General features: G+C 55.0%; 1 protein-coding gene across 3 annotated transcripts in view, besides 3 other annotated features; it reads left to right on the plus strand.

The window, feature by feature from the left end:
* The window catches only part of CDH23 (cadherin related 23), a 419,028-nt gene that overhangs the window by 292,422 nt on the left and 104,297 nt on the right, over window positions 1–22,309 (plus strand). For 2 of the 3 annotated variants that reach the window (NM_022124.6, NM_001171930.2), the window contains exons 20-27: window positions 1,127–1,243; window positions 4,806–4,918; window positions 6,077–6,184; window positions 12,681–12,870; window positions 13,208–13,353; window positions 15,570–15,789; window positions 17,556–17,708; window positions 19,757–19,870. In NM_022124.6, coding sequence (NP_071407.4) covers window positions 1,127–1,243; window positions 4,806–4,918; window positions 6,077–6,184; window positions 12,681–12,870; window positions 13,208–13,353; window positions 15,570–15,789; window positions 17,556–17,708; window positions 19,757–19,870 — 1,161 coding nt within the window. Of the gene's footprint in view, window positions 1–1,126; window positions 1,244–4,805; window positions 4,919–6,076; window positions 6,185–12,680; window positions 12,871–13,207; window positions 13,354–15,569; window positions 15,790–17,555; window positions 18,170–19,756; window positions 19,871–22,309 lie in introns of those variants that run through there. The other variant, NM_001171931.2, reaches the window with a different exon arrangement.
* Window positions 4,712–4,781: an enhancer, noted in NCBI's record as "active region_3517". NCBI's record gives its function as "activates an Ori minimal core promoter by ATAC-STARR-seq in GM12878 lymphoblastoid cells {active_cell/tissue: GM12878}" and the evidence as "EXISTENCE:reporter gene assay evidence [ECO:0000049][PMID:35858748]".
* Window positions 11,355–12,269: an enhancer, noted in NCBI's record as "H3K4me1 hESC enhancer chr10:73460453-73461367 (GRCh37/hg19 assembly coordinates)". NCBI's record gives its function as "activates a minimal SCP1, AML or CMV promoter by ChIP-STARR-seq in primed H9 embryonic stem cells {active_cell/tissue: H9 hESC(primed)}" and the evidence as "EXISTENCE:reporter gene assay evidence [ECO:0000049][PMID:30033119]".
* Window positions 12,270–13,183: an enhancer, noted in NCBI's record as "H3K4me1 hESC enhancer chr10:73461368-73462281 (GRCh37/hg19 assembly coordinates)". NCBI's record gives its function as "activates a minimal SCP1, AML or CMV promoter by ChIP-STARR-seq in naive H9 embryonic stem cells {active_cell/tissue: H9 hESC(naive)}" and the evidence as "EXISTENCE:reporter gene assay evidence [ECO:0000049][PMID:30033119]".

Here is a 22,309-nt window from a genome sequence, read left to right on the forward strand (position 1 = left end):
AGCCTACCCTGCCTGTCCTAGTCAGGCATCCCCTGGAGAATGTCACTGCTAAAGAGCTGCCTCCAGCACTACACCCCCATCCCTGGGGACTGTGTCAAGGAGAAGCCTTCACTATGGCACTTAATTCTCTTCAGGGGTATGTTATGGCTCATGTGCCTGTCCTCCTGCTCAAGGCAGGCCTGAGGGTCATATTTGAGGCCCCAGGGCCACAGGGCCACTATGGCCTGCCTGGCCCCTTGCCCCTCGGGACTGCTGATTCATCCGCTGGATGGTCACCACCAGCCCTGCAGCCCAGTGGAGCTCCCTGTGGGGCTCAGCCTGTGGCCTCAATGCTTTATCCCTCAGGATCCCAGCAGCAAACTCACAAGTTAGAGGGTATCTTTAGACCCGGTCCCAGGGGAAGAAGTGATGCTCAGGCAGGTGAAGGCGCCTGCCGAGGCCCTGAGGGGTCCAGTCTGGGTGTGAAGATTCCAGGAACCTGTGCACCGGACCTCCTCACCACTGGGCCAGAGCTGGCAGTTGGGTGGCAGGAGGGGCTGGAGCCAGAAGCCTTGGTGGGCACAGCTTCAGGACAAGCTGTTCTCAGGGTCTGGACAGGGTGGCTGGAAAAGCTGATACCTTGAGTCAGGATTTCACGGAACTGGAAATAAAAGTGAAGGCCTTAACTGAACATTAAAGAGAAAATAAAAACCCTTATAAATTCCCCTGAACGAGATAAAACTAGACTGAAATTGAATACAGTAAATGTAGAATAATTTAATATGGAATTTCATGTCTTTTGACTCCAAGTGACAGTTGGCCAATCTGAGTGTATTTAATATAGTGGCCAGCCAAGCAGGGGCCAGGGAGACAGGAAGACATCAGAGGGCCCAGTCCATCCCTAAGCCTCTCATGAGCCTTGTCCCCACCCAGCCCAGCGATCTCAGCTCCAAGAGCAACGATTGAGCCGCCCTTGTCCCAGGGATGTCGCAACAGGCAGGCCTCCCACCTCCCTGAGAGCTGGTCACTGGGAGGGTCCCACGTCCTCCTCTTGGGCCAGCGCAAATGCTGCTCCCAGGGCTGGGGCCTTGAAGCCAGGGGCCCAGGGTGAGCAGCACCCCCTGCCCCCACCTTTTTCCCCCTGAAGGAGCCACGGTGCTGTTCCTGAATGCCACAGACCTGGACCGCTCCCGGGAGTACGGCCAGGAGTCCATCATCTACTCCTTGGAAGGCTCCACCCAGTTTCGGATCAATGCCCGCTCAGGTGAGCCCCCCCACCCCAAGTACCCTGGTCCTCCACACCCTGAGGCTGACTGTCCATACCCGGCCCCAGGACCAGCCTCTGGGCCCAGGTCCCCTTCCTTTCAGTTTTGAGCAGACCAGCTTTGAGCACCAGTGTAATCCATGAAATATTAATTTGAGTGTGATTACTGATCTTACCCAAAAAATCACAACGTGAATTGACCCAGTGAAGGACGTCTTTCAAGGGTGAAGAGTTGTATTATGTTTTAAATGTGCTCCATCTTACAAAGAGCTGGTTAACACACCCCTCTTCAGGAACACCTTTATTAAAGCCTCAGGGTCCCCCTCCCTCAGCTGCTGACCTCATTCTTAAAGCCTGGCTCCTCTTCTTACACGGATGTGTGCCTCAGTTTCCCCACCTGTAAAATGAGGAAGATCATATTAGGGCTGTTGTGTGGATTAAATGATACATAATAGGGAGCAACTTTGATTAGTCCCTGGCACACGAAAAGTGCTAAAAAAAATTACCATCATTATTCTCTTTTGTTTATTCACCTGTGAGCCCCCTGCCCCCAGCTCCCAGCTCAGCCCATGTAACTCTCTTCTTTCTTCTTCGTCTCTCCATGTACATTCCTCAGTTTTCTCTCTTCCTTGAAGCTGGGAGAAAAAGTGGGCAGAAAGAAGCAGCAAGAGATCCAGGCTTTCAGCCAGACCTGGGGAAGAATTGGGACTTCTGTACATTCATTCATATGTTCATTTATTCATATGTTCATTCAGAAATTGGGGTGGGGGCTGCTCTGAGCCAGGTGCTGGGGTACAGGAAGGAATAAGACATGGCTCTGACCTCATGAGGTTGCTAGTCAGCTCAGTGGGCATGCAAGGCACCCCACTTCCAATACGCATTTCTGTATGAGTTAAAGGAACTGTCGATGCTAAACAGCTACACCCTATCTCAGTGGCTTGAGACAATACAAATTCAAATTCATATAGTCAACCCATGTAGATGTTGAGTGACAGCCTTCCACATGATGATTCTGGGACCCAGGCCCCTTCCATGTTGTGGCTCCAAGGTCACTGCAGAAGGGAAAAGAGAGCATGGGTTGTCAGAGCACTAGGAGGAGGTTATGGGCCAGGCCCTGCCTGGCAGTCACATCCAAGTAATAATTCTCCCCTGGGAAGGGAGCAGGAATCTTTGGTGGACACTGGCCATCCCTGCTGCAGGTGGTCAGTGGCCAGCAGGGCATCAGCTCTTCCTGCTATCCATCCCTCCACGTTGGAAGTCAGCCTTCAATCCCTTTTCCTGGAGGCTTGGGGAGCAGATGGCCGGTGCTGATGGGTACGAAGACTGAGGAAGGGGACCCAGGGCCACTGTGAGCCTCCTTTTCTATCTCTGAGAAAGTGAGGGCCCTCCTCCCAGCTCTCAGGAGCTTCCCCCACAGTGAGCCCTCATTCCCAGGGGTCTCAGAGTCATGTCATGAATGGATATGAACCACATGCCCAGCACTGTTCCCAGGGCTCTGAGCAGCAGCAGCATCTCATTCTGCCCTCCTCACCTGTGAGGCAGGTACTAGCCTTATCCCCATTTTCCAGATGAGGAAGCTGAGCCACTGGGGAGGTTAAGTAACCTGACTGAGGACTCGCAGAGCACGAACTTCTGACTCCAGAATCCAAACATTAAAGGCGCCATTATATGAGTAGCTCCCTGGCCTTTTAGCCACCCCCGCCCTTGCCTCCCCAGTCGGGGCTCCAGCTCCACCTGGGGCCTTTAATGACACAGACATTTTCTTGCTGCCTTAACACGACTTTGTCTCCAAAGGTGTAAGTGTTTTCCTCTGAGTTCCTCGGTCAAATTAGCCAGGGCTGCTCCACAGAGGTGGCCTTAATTGGATCTAATTTCCTAGACAGGAGAGGCCATCTATCATGCCGACAAGTTCACGTTTAAAACTTTTTAGAGATTAATTTCTTCCTCGCCCTGCCAATTACTTGACACCACCCTGGCAGGGAGTGTGGCTCGTTGGGCAGACCTTTGTGAGTCTTCCATTCCTGGCCTCAGCACCTAAGCTGCCCTGTCACCCACCCCCAGCTCCCTGCTCAGCCCCTGCACAGACCAGAGGGCAAGCCAGTGTGCCACAGAGGGAACTGTCAGGGTAGAAGCAGTCCTAAAAGCAATCTGGTCCAGCTGCCTTGTTTTATGGTGGAAAGAACCAAGCACAGAGAAGTTAAGCGACTTGGCCCAGGTCACACAGCTCAGGCAATGGGGATAAAAAGATGGATAGCACACAGGCCCTGCCCGTGGAGAATGCTCACGGTCCATTGGAAGAAAACAGTCATTTTCTGAGTGTTGGGAGCCTCACCTAGAATTACTGTAGCCTCACAACGGCTCTGCATGGAAGTCACACTAATCTCCATTTTATAGATGAGAAAACTGAAGCTTCAAAGAATTAAAATTCTCCAAGGCCAAGCGTCTGGGAAGGGCCATAATCAGAATTCAAATCCACATCTCACATCTTCACCACGTGGGTGCTCTCCCATGGCTGATGCAAGATAGTAAATGGCCTGGCTGCTGTGATTGCTGAAGTCTGCTGGGACTGGCTCACCCTGCTCCCAAGAGCTAGCGAGGCACTCAATTGTGAACTCCATATTCAATACCACCAAGTTGGTAGCTTAAAATGGGCCCTGGTGGGGCTATTTACACCAAGGAAATTGGCAAATGCCTTTTTTTTTTTTTATTTTGGGGAGCCAGTTGTCAAACATTTACCAGCACGCCACTATCAGGGTGATGTTTGCATTTCAGTTACACCAAAATACAAAGAAAGACCAAATACAGGCGAACAAGAAATGTTGTTTAATTGTTCAGATTTAGCACACTAAAACAACTCGAGGCAATGTAATTATGCTCTTCACAATGTAATTAGGAAATTATTTTATAACTATTAATTATCAATGCACGATAAGGTTGGATAGGTTGAACTGTCCAGTAATGAGTCACAAGTTAGACGCATGTGAACACCCGGTGTTTTTATTTCCTGTCATTGTATTTCTGTGACTGTATAAATAAACAGTGCCTGGCACTGTTCTAAGATTTCCATGATCTTAATTAAATTAACCCCACAATAGCCCTATGAGGTAGTTCCTATTATGGTTCCCTTTGGACCCTATGAGGAAACTGAGGCACAGAGGATTGAAGTAACTAGCTCCAGGTGAGAAAGCCAGTAAGATAATGTCAAAAGTCTAAACAAGAGGTGATCTGTGACTGAGCTTAAGGCCTAATGGCCCTCCTGCCCTGTTCTCCAGCCCCTAACCCCGAGAATCAGCCTAGATTTTCCCACATCTGCAAATATTTCCTCCTCATGGGGTTATGTTGCCCAGCCCTGGGGAACCAGCTCCCAAGGCACAGGAGCTCTCCCGTCTCCCACTGTGAGCACCAGCTCAGGAACACATCCAGGCCGCCAGATCATGGTAGCTTGCTAACATTTCTCGTGCAAGTTCTCACCCTCTCTCCTTCCCTCGCTCTCTCTCTTCTTCCCTCCCTCTCTCCCTGGCCCACCCAAACCCTCTCACGCACCCACTTCTCTCTCTGGCAGGGGAAATCACCACCACGTCTCTGCTTGACCGAGAGACCAAGTCTGAATACATCCTCATCGTTCGCGCAGTGGACGGGGGTGTGGGCCACAACCAGAAAACTGGCATCGCCACCGTGAGTGCGCTCCCCTCCCGTGCCCCAGCTCCCCCTCGCCGGCCAGGCTGCTGCTCCCTGCTTGTACCTCTGGACCCCCGTGTCCTGAGCCAGTGTGAGGCTTTGTGAGAATGAGCAAGGGGGCGAAAATGAACCCATCAGCAGCAGAGGTCAGCCCCCGGGGCCACCACAGCTGTGGGGAAGAAAGGCATCACCACCAGGAATGTAGGGGCACTTGGGAGGAGCAAAATGAAATACTTTCTCTCCTGCCCCTAAAAATCCAGGAGGGCAGGTGGCAGAAGGCATGAGCCCCATAGGCCCCTCCTTGCCTTGGTGCCTGTCAACAAAGCAGAAGCAGGCATTCCTGCGAGGAAGAGCAGCTCAGAGCAGGAAGCAGGGCCCTGGAGGGTCCCTGGGGGCTTGTTCTCCCCCATCTAATGTGCCCCAGAGAGTAGAAAGCTAGAGGAACGAAACGTGGGGGCCTCGAATGAGCTCTCGGCTGCAGAAGTGAAAGGGGAAGTGAGAAGCCCTCTGTGGGAGAGGAAGCGGGAGGACCAGCTGACAGTCACTCCAGCCACCTCCCCTCTTTGTTCCCCATTCGGTTTCTTTGGCTCACCCTCAAAACTGTGGCCCTCACCCAGTCTGCAGCAGCCACCCCATCCTTACCCAGCCAGAGAGGCTGGAGACGGTATCGCGTGGCCAGGGATTTGATGGAAAAATCCCCAGTGCCCTACTCTGTCAAGGGAGGCTCCTACTAATAGGAATCAGAGCCCTATAAATAATGTACCTGGTGGCAGGTGAGCAGGGAAATTGCTTGGCTTGTAGCTGAGACGGGGAGGCTCAAGGGATTCTATTAGATCCCCCACCCTGTCAGTCACCTTCAGCCAAGACTGGAGGCAGGGATGGGGGAAGCCCCAGGTCACAGCAAGGATTTCAGGGCTTATCACATCCATTCCACTGCCTCCTGATGGGACAACACTGGAACTCTCTCTCCTGAAGCGGCCTGGCTCCTTCCTGCCCTCGAAAGCCCAGGCTCTGCCCAAGGCTCCCAAGGTTGGTGGAGCTGGCAGAATTAATGCGAAGATTGCCCGTGGGCATCTGAGCACTTTTCCCCTGGCAGGCCCTGCCCTGGCCCATCTCAGCTGGGTGTGTCTCCCAGCGCCCCTTATGGCTTCACAGGTAAACATCACCCTCCTGGACATCAATGACAACCACCCCACGTGGAAGGACGCACCCTACTACATCAACCTGGTGGAGATGACCCCTCCAGACTCTGATGTGACCACGGTAGGTGGTGGCAGAGCAGCAGAACTGCCAGGCGGCCCTTCCCAGGGGTCTGTGCCCCTCCCACTGCGATTCCAGGGGGCCTTCCCCTATGGGGCTGGTGGACTCTGTGTCCCTCTGAGCTGGCTCTTGCAATAGAGTTCTAGCGGTTCTCCTGCATGGTGAAAGGCAGTCAGAGGTCAAGGGAAAGCCCTCATCCGGCCTCCAGTGTCAGTAGGCCTCAGGCTTTGTCAAAGGGAGCTTCAGGCAGCCCAGGGACAGTGGCAGGGGAGCTCTGGCCGGTTCCGCTTGTGAGCCACACGTGCCCTTAGAGCCCAGGACTCTGGCCACCCCCTCTGGAGAGCTCCCACCCCTACACTGCACAAGCCCCAGCTCCACCCCAGCACCTGTCTTTCACTGCTGTGCCCCTGCAGTCATCCATCTGGGTCACCTCCCCCACGGGCTGGCCCCCACGGCTGCCCAGCAGGGGTTTTGTTCACCTCAGGAATTTTCTGGCACAGGTTTGCCAGGTTTGCACAGGCCCCTGTGTGTGTTGTGTGCTCATGTGCAGGAATGTGCACAATTCAGGGTGCAGAGGGGAGACACGGTCAAAGCCAGGGCATCTCCAGCGGAGACCAGAATCCTGGGGAAACTGAGGAAGCCCAGGTCCCACCCCCACACCATCTGCTCTGCTGGGAGGTCCACATTTTTCAGCCTTCTCCTCCCCCACCCTGTACACCACGTGGCCTTACTTGAGGAGGCTTGTCCCCACATGAACATCCCCACTGCCACCCACCCAGCCCTGTGGGGGACATGAATCCTGGCAATTGACTGAACACCTGGGATGTGCTCTGAGCCTCCCCTGAGGGCTTCTCAGGAACTCTCTCCTCCTCACTGTAATCTCACAAGGCAGAGGGATTCCGTTGCCACTGCACTGTGGAGGAGACAGACTTAGAGCTTAAAGGCTTGCCCAAGGTCCCAAAGCTAGTAAAGGGTGCGGTCAGGACTCGAACCCTGGTCTGTCTGACTTGGAGACAAGGGATTAGAAACCACCTGGCCCAGTCCTTATTCCTCTGGGAGGGGGCACCCACACACCAGCTGACAGCCAGTCAGTGAACAATGTGGAAAGGAAGATAGGCATGACGGCCAATCCTTCCCTCCCTCTTTGTCCTTCCTTCCAGGTTGACCTCCTCTCCCATCCAGAGCCACTGCCAAGTATGGCTCTGGCACTGGAATAGGCACAGTGGAATAGGGCAGAGGTGAGGGATCTGGAATCTGCGATTTTTTTCAAAGCCCCGTAGAGGAATTCCTTCCAGCCCAGGGCCAGGTTTAGAAACCAGGACCCTCGCCCTTTGACACAGCTCTCTAGGCTCTTTGGTGGGTGCTCTCTGCTGCCGCCTTGTGGGCACTGCACTGGCCCAGGGTAACCTCCTCCCCACCCCAGCCAGGGATTCCAAGAGCTGGGGCTGGATCTCACCTCTGAACACCTTCTGGTCAACCCTCACCTTTCCCTTAGGTTTTTGGGAAATTCCTCCCAAAGGGGATTGAGGGGCAGGTGAGGAAGGTTGCTCTGGGAAAAGGGGGCTGCACAGGACACCAGCCTGGATTGCCGTTATCAAATAGTACACCCGGCAGACAAGGCGTGGGTGTGCCAGGTGAGGACTGCACACAGTCTTGGGCATCTGCAAGCTTTGGTCCCCCCGCCCTTCACCAGGTCTCCTGCCCTCCACATGTCCTTCTGAGCCATGAGCAGGCATGGACAATGGACCAAGGACCTGCTGCCCAGTGCCTCCTCACTTTCCAGGAAATCCACGAGCTATCAGGGAATGCCTACTGCATGCCAGGCCCCACGCTTGTCAGGCTGAGGGTACAGGAAGCAACACCAGGCCAGGTGCAGTGGCTCACGCCTGTAATCTCAGCACTTTGGGAGGCCAAGGCAGGCAGATCGCTTGAGCCCAGGAGTTTGAGACCAGTATGGGCAACATAGTAAGATCCCCACCCCCTTTATAAAATTTTTTTTAAGTAGCCAGGTGTGGTGGTGCACACCTGTGGTCCCAGATACTCAGGAGGCTAAGGCAAGATGATTTTTGAGCCTGGATGATAGAAGCTGCAGTGAGCCAAGATCACACCACTGCACTCCAGCCTGAGTGACAGAGTGAGACCCTGTCTCAAAAAAAAAAAGGAAGCTCCCGCCCTGCCTGCCTTTGGGGAGTGTCATGTCACTCTTCTATTCAAACCCCAGTGGTTCCCATCTCACCCTGTGCAAAAGCCAGAGCCCTTGCCAGACCTACAAAACCCGCAGGGTCTGCCCCATTGTCACCCCTGAGGAGTCAGCCGCATCATCCCTATCTGTAGTACAGAGCGGGTGTGGCTGTTCCACCGCTGGCGTCAGGTGGGCACAGGCTGGAGATTTTTGGTGCCCCAGGGTAGTATTTGAGACCTGAAAAATAAATGTGATGACCTGAAAGTTCAAAGATAAAAGGGCAAAATCAAAATTAAAACTTGTTATATGAAACATCTATCAGATGAAAGATGGCAGCTTTAGTAACTATGAAATTTAGTGTTTGTGAAAATTTCATTACATTCGAGGACAAATTGGAGGTTAGATTTTTCTAGAATTCTTGAAAATTTTCCAGAATTTTCTGGAATTCCCAGTTACGTATGATGATTGCCAGGAAATCAGAAATCAAGAAGCTTATATGTTAGTCAAGTTTGTCATAGCCAAATATTTTGAAAAGGAAGTTATAAAAATTATTTCCAATTTTATAGCCATAAAATGTATATATGCATACATATGTATATACATGGGTATGTCTCATTACCTTGGAGAGGACCCCCTGGAGACTTCTAGGGCCTCACAGTGCCCCAGGTTGAGGTAGGGTCTGTGGCCAAAGTGTGAGGTGAGGTGGCTACAGAGGGAATAGCTAACAGAGTTTCAGGTGACAGAAGGAGGAGGTGATATTTGAACAGGGGCTGGCCCACCACCTGACTCATCTCCCACCCCACCCTTCCCACACCCACCGCACACACCCACGCCCACAACCACCACCCATCCCCAACACACAGGCCTTTCGTTTCCCTGCACCCACTCAACTCTCCCCCAGCTCAGAGCCTTTGCACGAGCCCTTTCCTCCCTGACCCCTGCTCTTTTCATAGGTAGCTCATTCTGTTTCATCTGTCCCAGCTTAAAACGTCAGCTGTCTTAGAGAGGCCCTGCCTGACTACTGTCTAAAGTAGCTCTGACCCCTCTCCAAATTCTGTTTCCTGCAGAGCTGGACCCACAATCTGTGCTTATTTGTTTTGTAGGCTATTTGCTTATTAAGAGGCACGTGGTTTAGTGATTAAGCAGGCAGCCTCTGGTACCAAAATGCCCAAGTTCTCACTCTAGCTACACCACTTACCAGCTGTGTGACCTTGGGCAAGTTGCTTAACCTCTCTGTGCTCCAGTTCTTCTCATCTAAAAAATAGGGCTAGTAAGAGTCCCCACCCGATAGAACTGTGATCAGCGCTTACTGAGCCAAGACATAGGAAGCACTGGCACATGGGGAGTGGTCGGTAAATGGTAGCTGTCACCATCATCACTATCATTACCATCATCTGCTTCCTTTGCTGGAATCGCACTTGTCTTGTTCACTGTCAAACCATACTGCCTAGCACAGTTCCAGGCACATTGTAGGTGTTCAAAATATTTCAAAATATGTGTTGTTGAGGACTGATACAGCTGGTGAATATCTTACCTTTCCTTTCCCCTACCCCCTAGCTCAGCCAGGAGGTGGCTGGGTCTTCCTTGTCGGAGGTAGACTAGGGCGTATGGCCCAAGACTCTCTCAAGAGCCCTCTCTAGACATGGCATGGGCCACAGCACCTGGAGTCGGAGGCACAAGGCAACCCCAGTGATTTTCAGAGCTTGCATGCAGACAAGTGTCTTCCCACATGTGGCTTCATTTGGGTGCATTTGGAATTGGTGCAGTGTGTGCATCTGCATGCACTGGGTATGGCCTGGCATGCAGGCACTGAGGATGTCCACCTGCACTGGTGTGCGCTGGCGGAGTGGCCGTCTCTCTGTCTGCAAGGGAGATTTTGGTCCCACTCTTCTTCCTGGCTCCTGCAGCTGCCTTCAAGGACCTGGCTGATGGGCATTGATTTAGAGCCTTTCAAAGCCCTCCAGCAAAATAAAGGAGAGGGGAGAAGGAGAGAATTATTCCCCATCAGGCTAGGAGAAAAATGACGGGCGTGAAATGGGAAATAAATGAGGGGAAAGTGGTGAGATTCTACAAAATCGCCCAGCAGGGAGCCTGCAGGAGAGGTCACAGCCCTCCACCCTCTCCTGTACTCCCAACCTGCCCTGTGACCAGAGAGTGGGTCAAGAGACCCAAAACCATTGCCCATGCCCTGACCAGGATCACTTGGAAGCAGCTACCCTGGCACTCTCTGGCATGGTAGGGGCAGGAAGAGGGAATGGAAGAGGAGAAACCACCCACCATGTGAAATGTATCTCAGCCTGTTCAGCAACAGGCCTGGCCTGGAACAAGTGATTTAGCTGCTCTCTTCCTCAGTTTCCCCATCCAGAAAAATAAAATAGGGAGAAAATCATCTCTCCCCCAGGCTGGGTGCGGTCGCTCACACCTGTAATCCTAGCACTTTGGGAGGCCGAGGCGGGAGGATCACTTGAGGTCAAGAGTTTGAGACCAACCTGGCCAACATGGTAAAACCTTGTCTCTATTAAAAATACAAAAATTAGCCAGGCGTGATGGCTTTTGCCTGTAATCCCAGCTACTCGGGAGGCTGAGGTGGGAGGATCACTTGAACCCCAGAAGTGGAGATTACAGTGAGCCGAGATTGCACCACTGCACTCCAGCCTGGGTGATGGAGCAAGACTTCGTCTCAAAGAAAAAAAAATTCTCCCTTTTCAAACTGTTGAGAGAAGCATTGTAGAAACACAAGGAATGCTGGTCTTCTATGTCCATCTGTGAAACGACTTGGCCTGTTTTAAATTATGCCTGGAGTACCTAAGAGCCCTATCTCCTGTTTGCAAAATGGGGGTGTTGGGCTTCCCTTTATGGAGGCTAGGGAAACTGAGGCAATGTGCCCACAGCAAGATAAGGACACCTCAGACCTGGAAGGCAGGGACCTCCCCTCCTCTACCCTTTGGTGCTGCGAGGCTGGGAAGGGAGAGGAGGGCCGAGCAGTCCCTGGTGGGAGTGGGGGCTGCCCCCACCTCTCTGAAGGAGAAGCCTGCCTAGGGTGCCACAGCATTCAGCCCTCCATCAGCCTCTCTCTCCCCGGCCTCCCCAGGACCCATGGACAGGGGCAGATGGGAGTTCTCAGCCAGGGCAGCTCATCTGTCTGTTCTGGTCTGGTGGCCCCAGAGACACCTCTGGCTGGGGATTAAGCAGAGGAGGGACAGATTCTGCTGCCAAAGCACAAAAGGCTCCACATCAAGTAAGATGAAGGAGCTGACAAGCCTGGCTGTCATCACCGAGTGTCCTGCAGTTAAGAATAACACTGTCCTGATGTGGCCCCAGGGACTGTAGTCACCTCTCTCCCCCCACCACCACTGATCTTGTCCACCCCTGGTGCCACAGTGGCCTCTGCAATGCAGGGTCGGGGGTGAGCGAGGGGTAAGGGGCCACCTCAGGAGCCTCCAGGCTGGGAGCTGGGTCAGCTCCAAGGCTGGTGCTGTGTGACCCTAAGACTGGCCTGTGCCTCTCTGGGCTCTGCTTTCTCCTTGTGGAAGGTAGGGCGGTTGGAGGACGAGGGAGCTTCCCCACAGAGCGGGGGATCGGTGCACGCAGGGGGCCTCGGCGAAGATGAGGAGCCCTCAAAGGCTGCAGGGGGCCCTTTGCCTTTTGTTTATGACCTGGCTGTGTGGGATCTGGGACACTAAGGGACAGCAGGCTGTGGGGTTCACCGCCCCTGGGTTAGGATGGCACTGAGCACTGACCCCTTCATGACGTGGGGGTTATAAGTGGGGAACCAGGCTGTAGGCCGGGGAGTTGAAGGGGCCAGAGTGTCTGAGGTCCAGTCCTGAGACCCTGCCCCTTATCAGGGACCATGTACCTCCCTTCCAGGGAGCTCCACCCTCTCCTTCCTTAACACTCCCCCAGCCCTGCGACTGCCCCAGCTAACTGGGTCCCACCTTCTGAAACTGGGCCCCAGCCATGGCTTCCTTCACATGCCCTGTCATCTCTGGTGTCACAATCTAATGCTTCAAAGGAAGGAAGGGAGGGAGGGTTTGATGAGGAGGAACCCAGTCTCCAAAATCCAGGGTTTCAAATCCTTTCAAAAATCTTAGCTGGAATACAGACTCCCCAGCCATTCCCAGCCCCTCCCCTAGAGAACTCCTGCCTCCCAGCCCTCTCGGACCCCCCTACCGGGCCCAGCGGGGATGCCCACTTCCTGGGCCAGAGCCAGGATGTCCCCTCCCCAGGACCAACGTCTGAGCTCAGATACTCCCGGCCAGCCCAGAGACACCCTCCCCAGGCGCGGCTCAGTGAAGGGGTCTGCTCCCTCCCGGGCAGGTGGTGGCTGTTGACCCAGACCTGGGGGAGAATGGCACCCTGGTGTACAGCATCCAGCCACCCAACAAGTTCTACAGCCTCAACAGCACCACGGGCAAGATCCGCACCACCCACGCCATGCTGGACCGGGAGAACCCCGACCCCCATGAGGCCGAGCTGATGCGCAAAATCGTCGTCTCTGTTACTGACTGTATGGACCCCTCTCGCCCCTCACGGCCCCCACACCTTAGGCTGCGGGTGTCCCTGGTGACTGGGCCTCTGGGGTACCTGGGGCCCACCCAGGAGGTCTATGTCTGATCACCAAGAGTAGAGTAATACCCACGCCCCAGTTGTGACTCCTAGAGCACCCTGAGGGAACGGAGGGAGCTGGGGAGGGGAGCTGTGAGGCCTAGGCTGCTTCCTGGAGGGGCCTTTGGGATGGAGGGCTCTGAATCTGCCACCCTCTCACCACTTGCCTTCTTCCTGTCCGTTTTCTCTTGCACCCATCTTACCCTGTCCTTGGCCCCTTCTCGCCCTGGTCTTCCCAGGTGGCAGGCCCCCTCTGAAAGCCACCAGCAGTGCCACAGTGTTTGTGAACCTCTTGGATCTCAATGACAATGACCCCACCTTTCAGAACCTGCCTTTTGTGGCCGAGGTGCTTGAAGGCATCCCGGCGGGGGTCTCCATCTACCAAGTGAGTCTCTATCATCTCATTCCTACCAGCCCAGAGGTGGGCAGTGGGTGCCTGAGGAGCCTAGCCCAGGCTGAAAACTTTGCAGGGCTGGGGCAGGGGAGGAGCTGGGTCTTGAAGGACAGAGGCTCTGGAGATGTGGAGGGAAGTGTGGCAGGAAAAGGATAGGGAGATGGGCAAAGGCAGAGGTAGAGAGAGGGAGAGAGGCAAAGATGGAATTCTGGAAGTCATGTCCAAGTTTCTCAGGGCCTGATTATGGAGGTCTGGCCCAGGACCTTGGACCTTCCATTCCCTAAGCCTGCAGATGGTTCTAGAATACAAAGAAGGCCAGATGAGTGTAGCCCTGGGCATCTGCCTCTCCCATGCCTTCTCATAAGCCCCGGATCAGCTCCCTTTACTACAGTAGAGGGGCCTCTGTCTACTTTGCAGGGCTCTAAAGAGACTTGCCCAAGACCCCTTGGCCAAGCACATGGTCTGATCTTGGGCCTGGCTTCTTTGCCTCCTGTTCCATCATCCTCTGATTAGAGGGATCCTGAAGGTGCTGGTTTAGGGGAGATGACATCCAGGGTTTCAAGTCCTTTCAACACCTCTGCCCTCCGGGGGCCATTCAGAAACACTGGAGACCCTCCTGGTTAAGAGCATGGGCCGTGGAGTCCAACCAACGGGGATGTGAATCCCATCTCCAGCACCAGGGTGCTGTGTACTTGGAGCAAACTGCTTAACCTCTCTGAGTCTCAGCTTCTCATCTGTGAAATGGAGATAATAATAGTACCTGCCTGGCTGTGCTGTGGGGACTCAATCAGACACACGTATGAAGCACCCTGGAACTTGGACACAGGAAACACAGTAGCTGTGGTGATCACTGTGTGTCGGTCACGAGGGCTTATACCTGAGACACAATGGCTGTATCAGGTTAGCCTGTTCTCATTAGAAGAAGATGGGGTTGTTTGTCAGGATGCCAGAGGGGGTGAGCTTGGTGGTGCCCCACAGGCCCGCTGTGCCTCAGTTTCTTCATCTGTAGGAGGAGGTGAATGGTGTTCTTTGGCAGGTCCCCAAACTCCCAGCAGGGAGCGCCTCAATCCAGGGAACGGCAGTCGGTCCCCGAGGAAGCCCCCAGACCGGAGGGGAGGCGGGGTGAGAGCAAGTCAACCCCCAAACCCTGTTCTCTGGGGGCTCACAACCAGCGAAGAAAGATGCCCACCAATGCAACTTCTGAGTTCATAGAGGAAGGAGCGGGGAGCGTTTAACTTGGAAACTGTCCTCACATACACGATGAGGGCCCTCCCTTGAACTGTGGCTCCCTGGTCCCACCTAGGACCTCAGGAGATACAGATTTCTGCTGGTTGTGGAGAAGAGCGTTCTCCAGGGGGTAGAGCTGTGCGCAAGTAAAGTAAAAGTACTGAGCCCCCCGTCCTGGAAAGCATTCAAGCTGAGTCCAGACACCTCTCGTCCAGTTTGCTGGATGTGAAATAGATCAGACGACCTTGATATTGTCTCCCAATCCTGAGAGTCTTGGCTTAATCCAAAACTCTTATTTTATTTATTATTACACATTTCCCCAAATGCCTTGAATCCACTTCAGTAAAACATTCAGGGTACCAGGGTCTTGAGTCGGGCAATCTGATCAGGACTGGAGGTGCAGATGAGAACAGTGTAGGAATTTGGGAGGAGGCTTGCCTGTGCATGGCCACAAACAGTTTTTTAAAAAAATAATAATAATGAAATCCTCAAGTGACTTTTAAAAAAGAACCCTTGATGTAATTTTATTTTTGTTGTTACTATCTCACAAATCAAAGCAAAGCGGGGCAGGGGAAGTCTGTGAATCCAGCCTTCTACGTGGTTGAACTCCAGATAATGGTGGGGTCCTTAAGCTGGAACAGCTGCTCCAAATCTGGGAGGGCTTCCTAATGGGGAGAGCAGGGGATGAAGGGGAGAAAGCGCTGTAGAGACCTGAGCTCTTATTCTAAAAAGTCCCTCTGCCACCCCATCACCGGCCTCACTTGGTGCATCTGGACGCCTTTCAGCTGACATGCGACCCCCTTAGAGGGTGCCTGGGAGGGTGCCCTGGGGACAGTGGCCTGGCCTAAGGCTTGGAGGGGAGCAGATGTGTCTAGCTGCAGCCAAGTGTGGCTTGGCAGGGAGGAGGAGCACTTCTTGGGGGAGAAGCATCCATCCCAGTGTCCCCTCCCCACCCTCATGCTGCCCCTCCTTGCCCTCAGGTGGTGGCCATCGACCTCGATGAGGGCCTGAACGGCCTGGTGTCCTACCGCATGCCGGTGGGCATGCCCCGCATGGACTTCCTCATCAACAGCAGCAGCGGCGTGGTGGTCACCACCACCGAGCTGGACCGCGAGCGCATCGCGGAGTACCAGCTGCGGGTGGTGGCCAGTGATGCAGGCACGCCCACCAAGAGCTCCACCAGCACGCTCACCATCCATGGTGAGGGGGCGCAGGGGCTTCTGCTGTGTGCTCAGTGTGTGGGCACAGGCCTGGGTCAGGGGCAGGGGTAGAGGGGAGCCCATGTCCCCCACTGCTGTCTATTGGACTTGTAGGCACAGGCTCCCTTGTTAATGAGGTGCCCTCCCCAGCTGGAGCCATTCAACACAGCAGAGCCTTCTCCACACCTGACCACTGCCTTCAGTGCCCCAGAGCTCAGGGGCAGTGGCCTGGACCTGCTGCCAAAGCCCCATCAACCCCACCCCTCCTAGCCTCTGATCGTGGCAACAGCAGAGAGGGCTTGAGCAGGGCCCGGGACCCTCAGGGTCATGAACAGGCAGGGAGGGTGCAGAGCCCTTTGTCTTCTTTGGAAGGCCAGAGTTTTTGTTTGGGAGACATAAAGGAGACCTCCCCCTCCCATGGGTGTGGAACCCCTGGACTGGCAGTAGCAGGGCATCACCCTGGGAAGAGAGCAGCTGGGACTCCCAGACTCCCTAAGATCCTCATCCCCCTGGGACTCTCATGCTCATTCCCAGTGTCTCTGCCCTCTATTGGTGAAGGGACGGGGTACTGTTTCCACTCTGGATGAGTCTTTAATTTTCAGGACAGGATGCAGACATGAGCTGTTGCCAAGGGGCCAGGAATAACCCCAGGGAAATAAGGGCAGAGTTTAGCAGGCAAGACATGGCCTGTTCCCTGAGCCTGTTCAATCCCATCCTAGCTCTGCTGGCCTCCATGGGATGGTAGGGGGCGGGGGAGGGTGTAGTTAGCTCAGCACAGGCTCAGACACTGACCCTCTTCAGTTGAGACCTAAGATGGTGAGGATTTCAGAGAGCACAACATTCTCTCTCCCATTGGTCCGAAGCTTGCCTGTGGGTTTCTGTTGCCAGTTTCAGGACCCCCTTATTGGCCGATGATGGACAGGGAATATGTCCCAGCTTTAAGAGAGGACCCCTGGAGGGCCTTTCTCCAAGACTCAGCAGAAGCCATAACATCAAATGGGCCCAGGATCTCTCCTGGTGATACCATTCAGAGGAACCCAAGTGGGGTGGGGATCACTTCGCTATGAAGGTTGTCCAAGCCCCATCTGCCTGAGGAATAGGGGCCTAGCATGCAGAGCGGAGTAAACACATCTGTAAGGGAAATTAAACCTTATTTCGGGGGGTGGGATTTTCAAAGTGAGCTCCCTTTGCTGAAAGTCCGTTGCATGCTGAGGGTAGACCTTGAGGCTCCAGCCCTCCACTGTGCCACTGTGTGACTTTGGACAAGTCACTCAGCTGCTCTGAGCTCCCGCTTCCTCAGCTCCACAGTGTGTCTAATAATGCCCACCTCCTAGGGTGCTCAGAGGGCTGCATGTGGTCCTGTATGGGAAGCACTCAGCATGGGCTTGGCACGCTGGACAAGCTCGTAAATGGTCACTGTCGTCATCGTTGTCATGATTGTCCGTGTTGCCATGGTCGTTGTTAGGTGCGTACTGGAGAGAGGTTCTAAGGTTTTCTCTCCTCCCTTTGACAGCTGAGCAGCAATAAGCCCCCAGGGCACAGGGACAGCGGGAGGGTCTGGAGCACTGGTGGGCCTGGTCCTGGCCCCGGTGGGCATGGGGGGCCCTGGGCTTATGGCCAGGAGGTGTTGACACAGATGCCACTTGGAGCCCGTGACTCCCTTGGGAATTCATTCCCTACTTGGTCTGGTGCTGGAGACGCTGCTCTGGAGCTGGGTCTTCTGCGGCAGAAGCCAGGCCTAGCCCCGGCGCCCGTTCTGCCCCGCAGTGCTGGATGTGAACGACGAGACGCCCACCTTCTTCCCGGCCGTGTACAATGTGTCTGTGTCCGAGGACGTGCCACGCGAGTTCCGGGTGGTCTGGCTGAACTGCACGGACAACGACGTGGGCCTCAATGCAGAGCTCAGCTACTTCATCACAGGTGCTGCCCCGGCCTCCGCCCACCTGTGCAGGCCTCCTGGGGCCCTGCCTCCACCCCTCCCAGATGGACAGCCAGACTAGGTGGGGGCAGGTGAGGGTGGAAAAGAGGTCAGGGCTCTACTGTTGGGCTTTAGCCTCTGGTGGTGCCTCCCGAGGATTTGCTCCTGGCTCTTCCCAAGGGCTTTGCAGCTGGATCACTCTGGACTGGCTCCCTGGGGACCTCCTGAACCTGTTGGTTGCAGGGACGGGGAGCATCTACCAAGGTTCATTCTAGAGGGAGGTAAGGCCCCATGATTCCTAGGGAGGAGCCCTGAGCCCCACTCCCCGCCCCAAGTCTGGGTGACAGAGCAGTGACTTGGAGGAATGTGGCCTCATCCTTCCTTGGGGACCTGTTGAGAATTCCCACCTGTTTAGAGGCAGATGGTTTTGATCTCCCTAAATGAAATGGTTTTAGCTCAAAAATGTTGCCTGGCTGTTGTCTGCAGAGCTGTGGCCACAGATGATGAGGCCATGTCCTGGCTCACAGGGGAAAGTGAGCTGCAATGGATTAGTGATGTCTGCCACAGTGGTAGGATTGGTAGATGGTGGCGCACATGCCATGGGTTTGCCATTCCTGGATGAGAACACAGCTTCTTAGCCTCCCCGACACACGAGAGATGCTGGGACACATGGGGGTGCAGTCTTCCCCATTCCTCAACCCTCTTTGGCCCTTTTACTGGCTCAGTCTTCTCTCTGTCCATGACCTGCCTACCAACACACATGTTGCCTCTGCATATGTGTGCCTGTACACACGAGCAGGGCACACACCAGCCTTCCCAATGCCTCCCCATGAAGCAAGGATGCCCAGCTCACAGCCCATCTGTGGCTTTGCTGCGGCCAACGTGACCTCCCAGCCCTCAGCCTTCCCTTTCTTCCCTCACCTCCCTGAAGGGGCCCAGCACCCTCAGGCCCACTCCTTACAGTCTGGCCCTCAAGTCGGCCCTAGGGAGGGCTTAGTTACTAAGACCCCTCACATGGCACCAGCTCCGTGGCTCCACTGCCCACACTATTTACGTCCTAGTTCTGCCCTGGGCTCCCCGGGAGTCAGAGTGTGTCCCTTGCAGATGGTACTTCAGACACTGGGGAGCACTGGAGGTTTGGGGGTCAGGAGGCTTTCCCTAGGGGCAAACCAGCAAGAACAGGGGGAGCACCTGGCAGCCTGCAGGATGACTCTTCAGCACCCCAGAGTGGTGGGCTCCCGCTGACCTGCCCAGAGCCCTCCCGGATTTTCAGTGCACATTCTGCAAGGAGCTGAGCCCAGTCCTGCCCAAGCTCACCACAAAGCTGGTGCCGTGGCGCCCTCTGCTGCCCAGAACACCACACTGCTCGCCAGCTGGCAGGGGAGGGGTCTCCACGCTGTTCTGGGAGTTCCTTCCTGACTCCCGTCCACCGCGAGAGGAGACCCTCACACTTCCCACCTGTCCCAGAACTCAAGGAGACTCAGTAATCCCTGTCTCCTGTACACCTGCCTTGACTCCTCCCTCTGTGGAGCCTCCATGTCCCCACTCAGGAAGCTTCGCTCCTCAGCCCATCTCACCTCCGAGATGAGGGGCCTGGGGGATGCTCAGCCAACCCCAGAGTTCTCAGCAACATATACAAGCCCCTATGCAGGTTAGCTGCTCAGACGCTTCTGCAGGACGGGCAGGGAGCAGAGGGGTGAAGGATAAGCCCAGGGACCCACGCATGGAGAAACCCAGAGTGGCACAGGCACATCACTGAGTGAGGGGTTCTCCTCTGTGAGGTGGAGGCTAAATGAAATGGTCTGCATGAAGTACCTGTAAACAGGAGGTGCTTCGTGAAGGTTAGGAACGGATTCCAGGCATCTGGCACCCCCGCTGAGCCCACCCAAGCTGCACCCGCATCAGAGCACCTCAGGCAGGGCCGAATCAGCAGCACAGCCTCCCACTCCTGGACTCACCATCGCGGGTCCCAGCTCAGGAGCAGAGTCCCCGCTTCCCCTGGCCGGGAGCTCTGTTTCCCAGCCGGAAGCTTCCTCTCCTTCACCCACAGGTGGCAACGTGGATGGGAAGTTCAGCGTGGGTTACCGCGATGCCGTTGTGAGAACCGTGGTGGGCCTGGACCGGGAGACCACAGCCGCCTACATGCTCATCCTGGAGGCCATCGGTATGCACCAGTCCCGCACCCACCAACACAGTGATCTGGGCAGAGTTCACACAGGGTGCCTCCCAGGAGCTGGCCTTTTGCTAAAGGCTGAACTCTGCCCAGATGCCAGTGGAGAAAGGGCCACCAGGCACTCACCAAACATTACTCAGCACTTGCCGGGCATGAGGCTCACTGCATGGTGCCACATGCAAGACACTAGGATGGTAAGGTGGGAGCTACATGGGAGACCCACATGTAGACAAATTACTGCAAATCCAGGCAAGCCAGCAGGAAGGGAAAAGGATGACATAAGAGTATTGGGCAGTGGTGCAAACACAGAGTGGGAGAGGTCACGGGAGGCTTCCTTCACGAATCGGCATCTGGGAGTGCCTTTGAGTGAGTTAGGACCCTTTCAGTTGAAAATTTTAAAATAAAATAAACTGACTTCAGCAATATGGGCTCACAAAACCAGTCCACTGGGAGATGTAACTCCCAGTATGACTGGATTCAGGGCTCAGGTGACACCTCAGGCTTCAGTCTCTGCACTGGCTGGCGCTGCCTCCTGTGTGTTGATGTATTAGTCTGTTTTCACGCTGCTGATAAAGACATATCCGAGACTGGGTAATTTATACAGGAAAAAGGGTTTAATGGGACTTACAGTTCCACGTGGCTGGGGAGGCCACGTGGAACTCACAATCATGGCAGAAGGCAAGGAGGAGCAAGTCCTGTCTTACATGGATGGTAGCACGCAAAGAGAGAATGAGGAAGACGCAAAAGTAGAAACCCCTGATAAAACCATCAGATCTCATGAGACTTATTTACTACCACGAGAACAGTGTAGGAGAAAATGCCCCCATGATTCAATGATCTCCCGCTGGCTCCCTCCCACAACATGTGGAAATTATGGGAATACAATTCAAGATGAGATCTGGGTGGGGACGCAAAGCCAAACCATATCAGTTGGCTTTATTCTTCAACTCACATGGTGGCAGGTCGTTGCCCCAGCCTCACCTGTACACATTCTCAGGTTCAAGTGCAGCGGCATGGAAGACAGCACTTGTCTCTTTCCCCTCCCTGGCAGAAGCCCTCAGATCAGCTCTAGATAGATCCATTCTGCCCCAGTGCCCATTCCTGAGCCCCTCACTGTAGCCAGGGAAGTGAGATGTGCTGGTTACTTAAGCCTAAGTCACATGCCCATCCTGGGCCCTCCTGCTCCTGGGCTTTTCCTTCTTCAGGCCTCAGGGCAGCCTCACCCCCCACCCCAACCTCCAGGAAGACAGTGCCTAGTGGCCAGCAGGGCCTGCTGGTGAGGTGGATGGCTACAGGCTGAATCCAGCCTAGGATGTGCAGGGAGCTGGGGGCAGTCCCACCTACCCAGCATCCCAGGCCTCAAAGCCTGGAAGGGAGGGTCCACAGGGGGACATTCAGGACATGGCCTTCCCAGGGGAGCACAGGGCAGTGCTGATGGACAGAAACAAGGGGTGCCCACTGCAGCCTTGGAGGCCACATAAGGTTTCAGTACATGAAGAAGCAGGGAGGGCACTTCAGGCAGAGGCACCAGCCCATGCAAGGGCCTGGAGGTGGGAAAGTGCCTTGTGTGCACAAGCATGCGTGCATGCACCGCAGCTGGCCCATGGAGTGGCCCACACTGGGGAAGGGGAGGCTGTGATCAGGTAGGGCCATGTGTGGAGGCCTAAACATTGGCCAAGAAGTTTGGTCTTTGGTCTCTGGGCAGCAGGGAGCCCTTGAGGGCCCCAGAGGGGAAGAGTGGTATGATGAGACCTGTGCCGCCGGGTGCTCCTGGTCCTCCCAGGAAGTTTGCAGTGAGCTGAGTAAGAAGGGAATGAATTCTCTGGGCCTCACTCTTTCCAACCATCAATCCCTTCCCAGCCCGCCCATGCCCAGATGCCTCTGCCCTCTGCCCTGCTCTCCTCCCCTCCTGGAATGGCTGCCCACCCTCTGGAGACTTGTTATCACCCCTGAGTCCAGCCCTCACTTTGGGCATTGCCTGGCAGGAGGAGAGGGCTTCTGCCAGCCTTCTAGGGAGCCTCCCACACACACACCAATCCCAGCCAGAGCAATAAGCCAACCCCCAAGGGTGGTGGGAGGCTGGTCTGGAGAGGAGCTTTGGAGGGTGAGAAGACCTACCTCCAGTGAGCGACAGCACTGCCACGTATGGTCAGCTGGCCTGGGGAAGAAGGATGGCGTCACCCTAGGTCTCCAGGCTACTCCAGCTGCCTGCACCACCCCCTGGGGTGACCACTCTTGCCTGGACATGCAGCGCTGGTTACAAGCTCCTTCCTCCAGGGAGGACAACCCAAGAGCTGCCTGGGGCTGAGTCAGTGCCCCATCCTCACCACCTCCCAGCCCTGGGAGGGTCCTGTGGGAACTGGAGGGACAGAGTCTCCGGGGACCTTAAGCTTAGATCCCAAGCAAAGCCCGTGTTCCTGAATGCAGAGG

Source organism: Homo sapiens, chromosome 10, assembly GCF_000001405.40.
Source record: "Homo sapiens chromosome 10, GRCh38.p14 Primary Assembly".
NCBI classification, from domain to species: domain Eukaryota; kingdom Metazoa; phylum Chordata; class Mammalia; order Primates; family Hominidae; genus Homo; species Homo sapiens.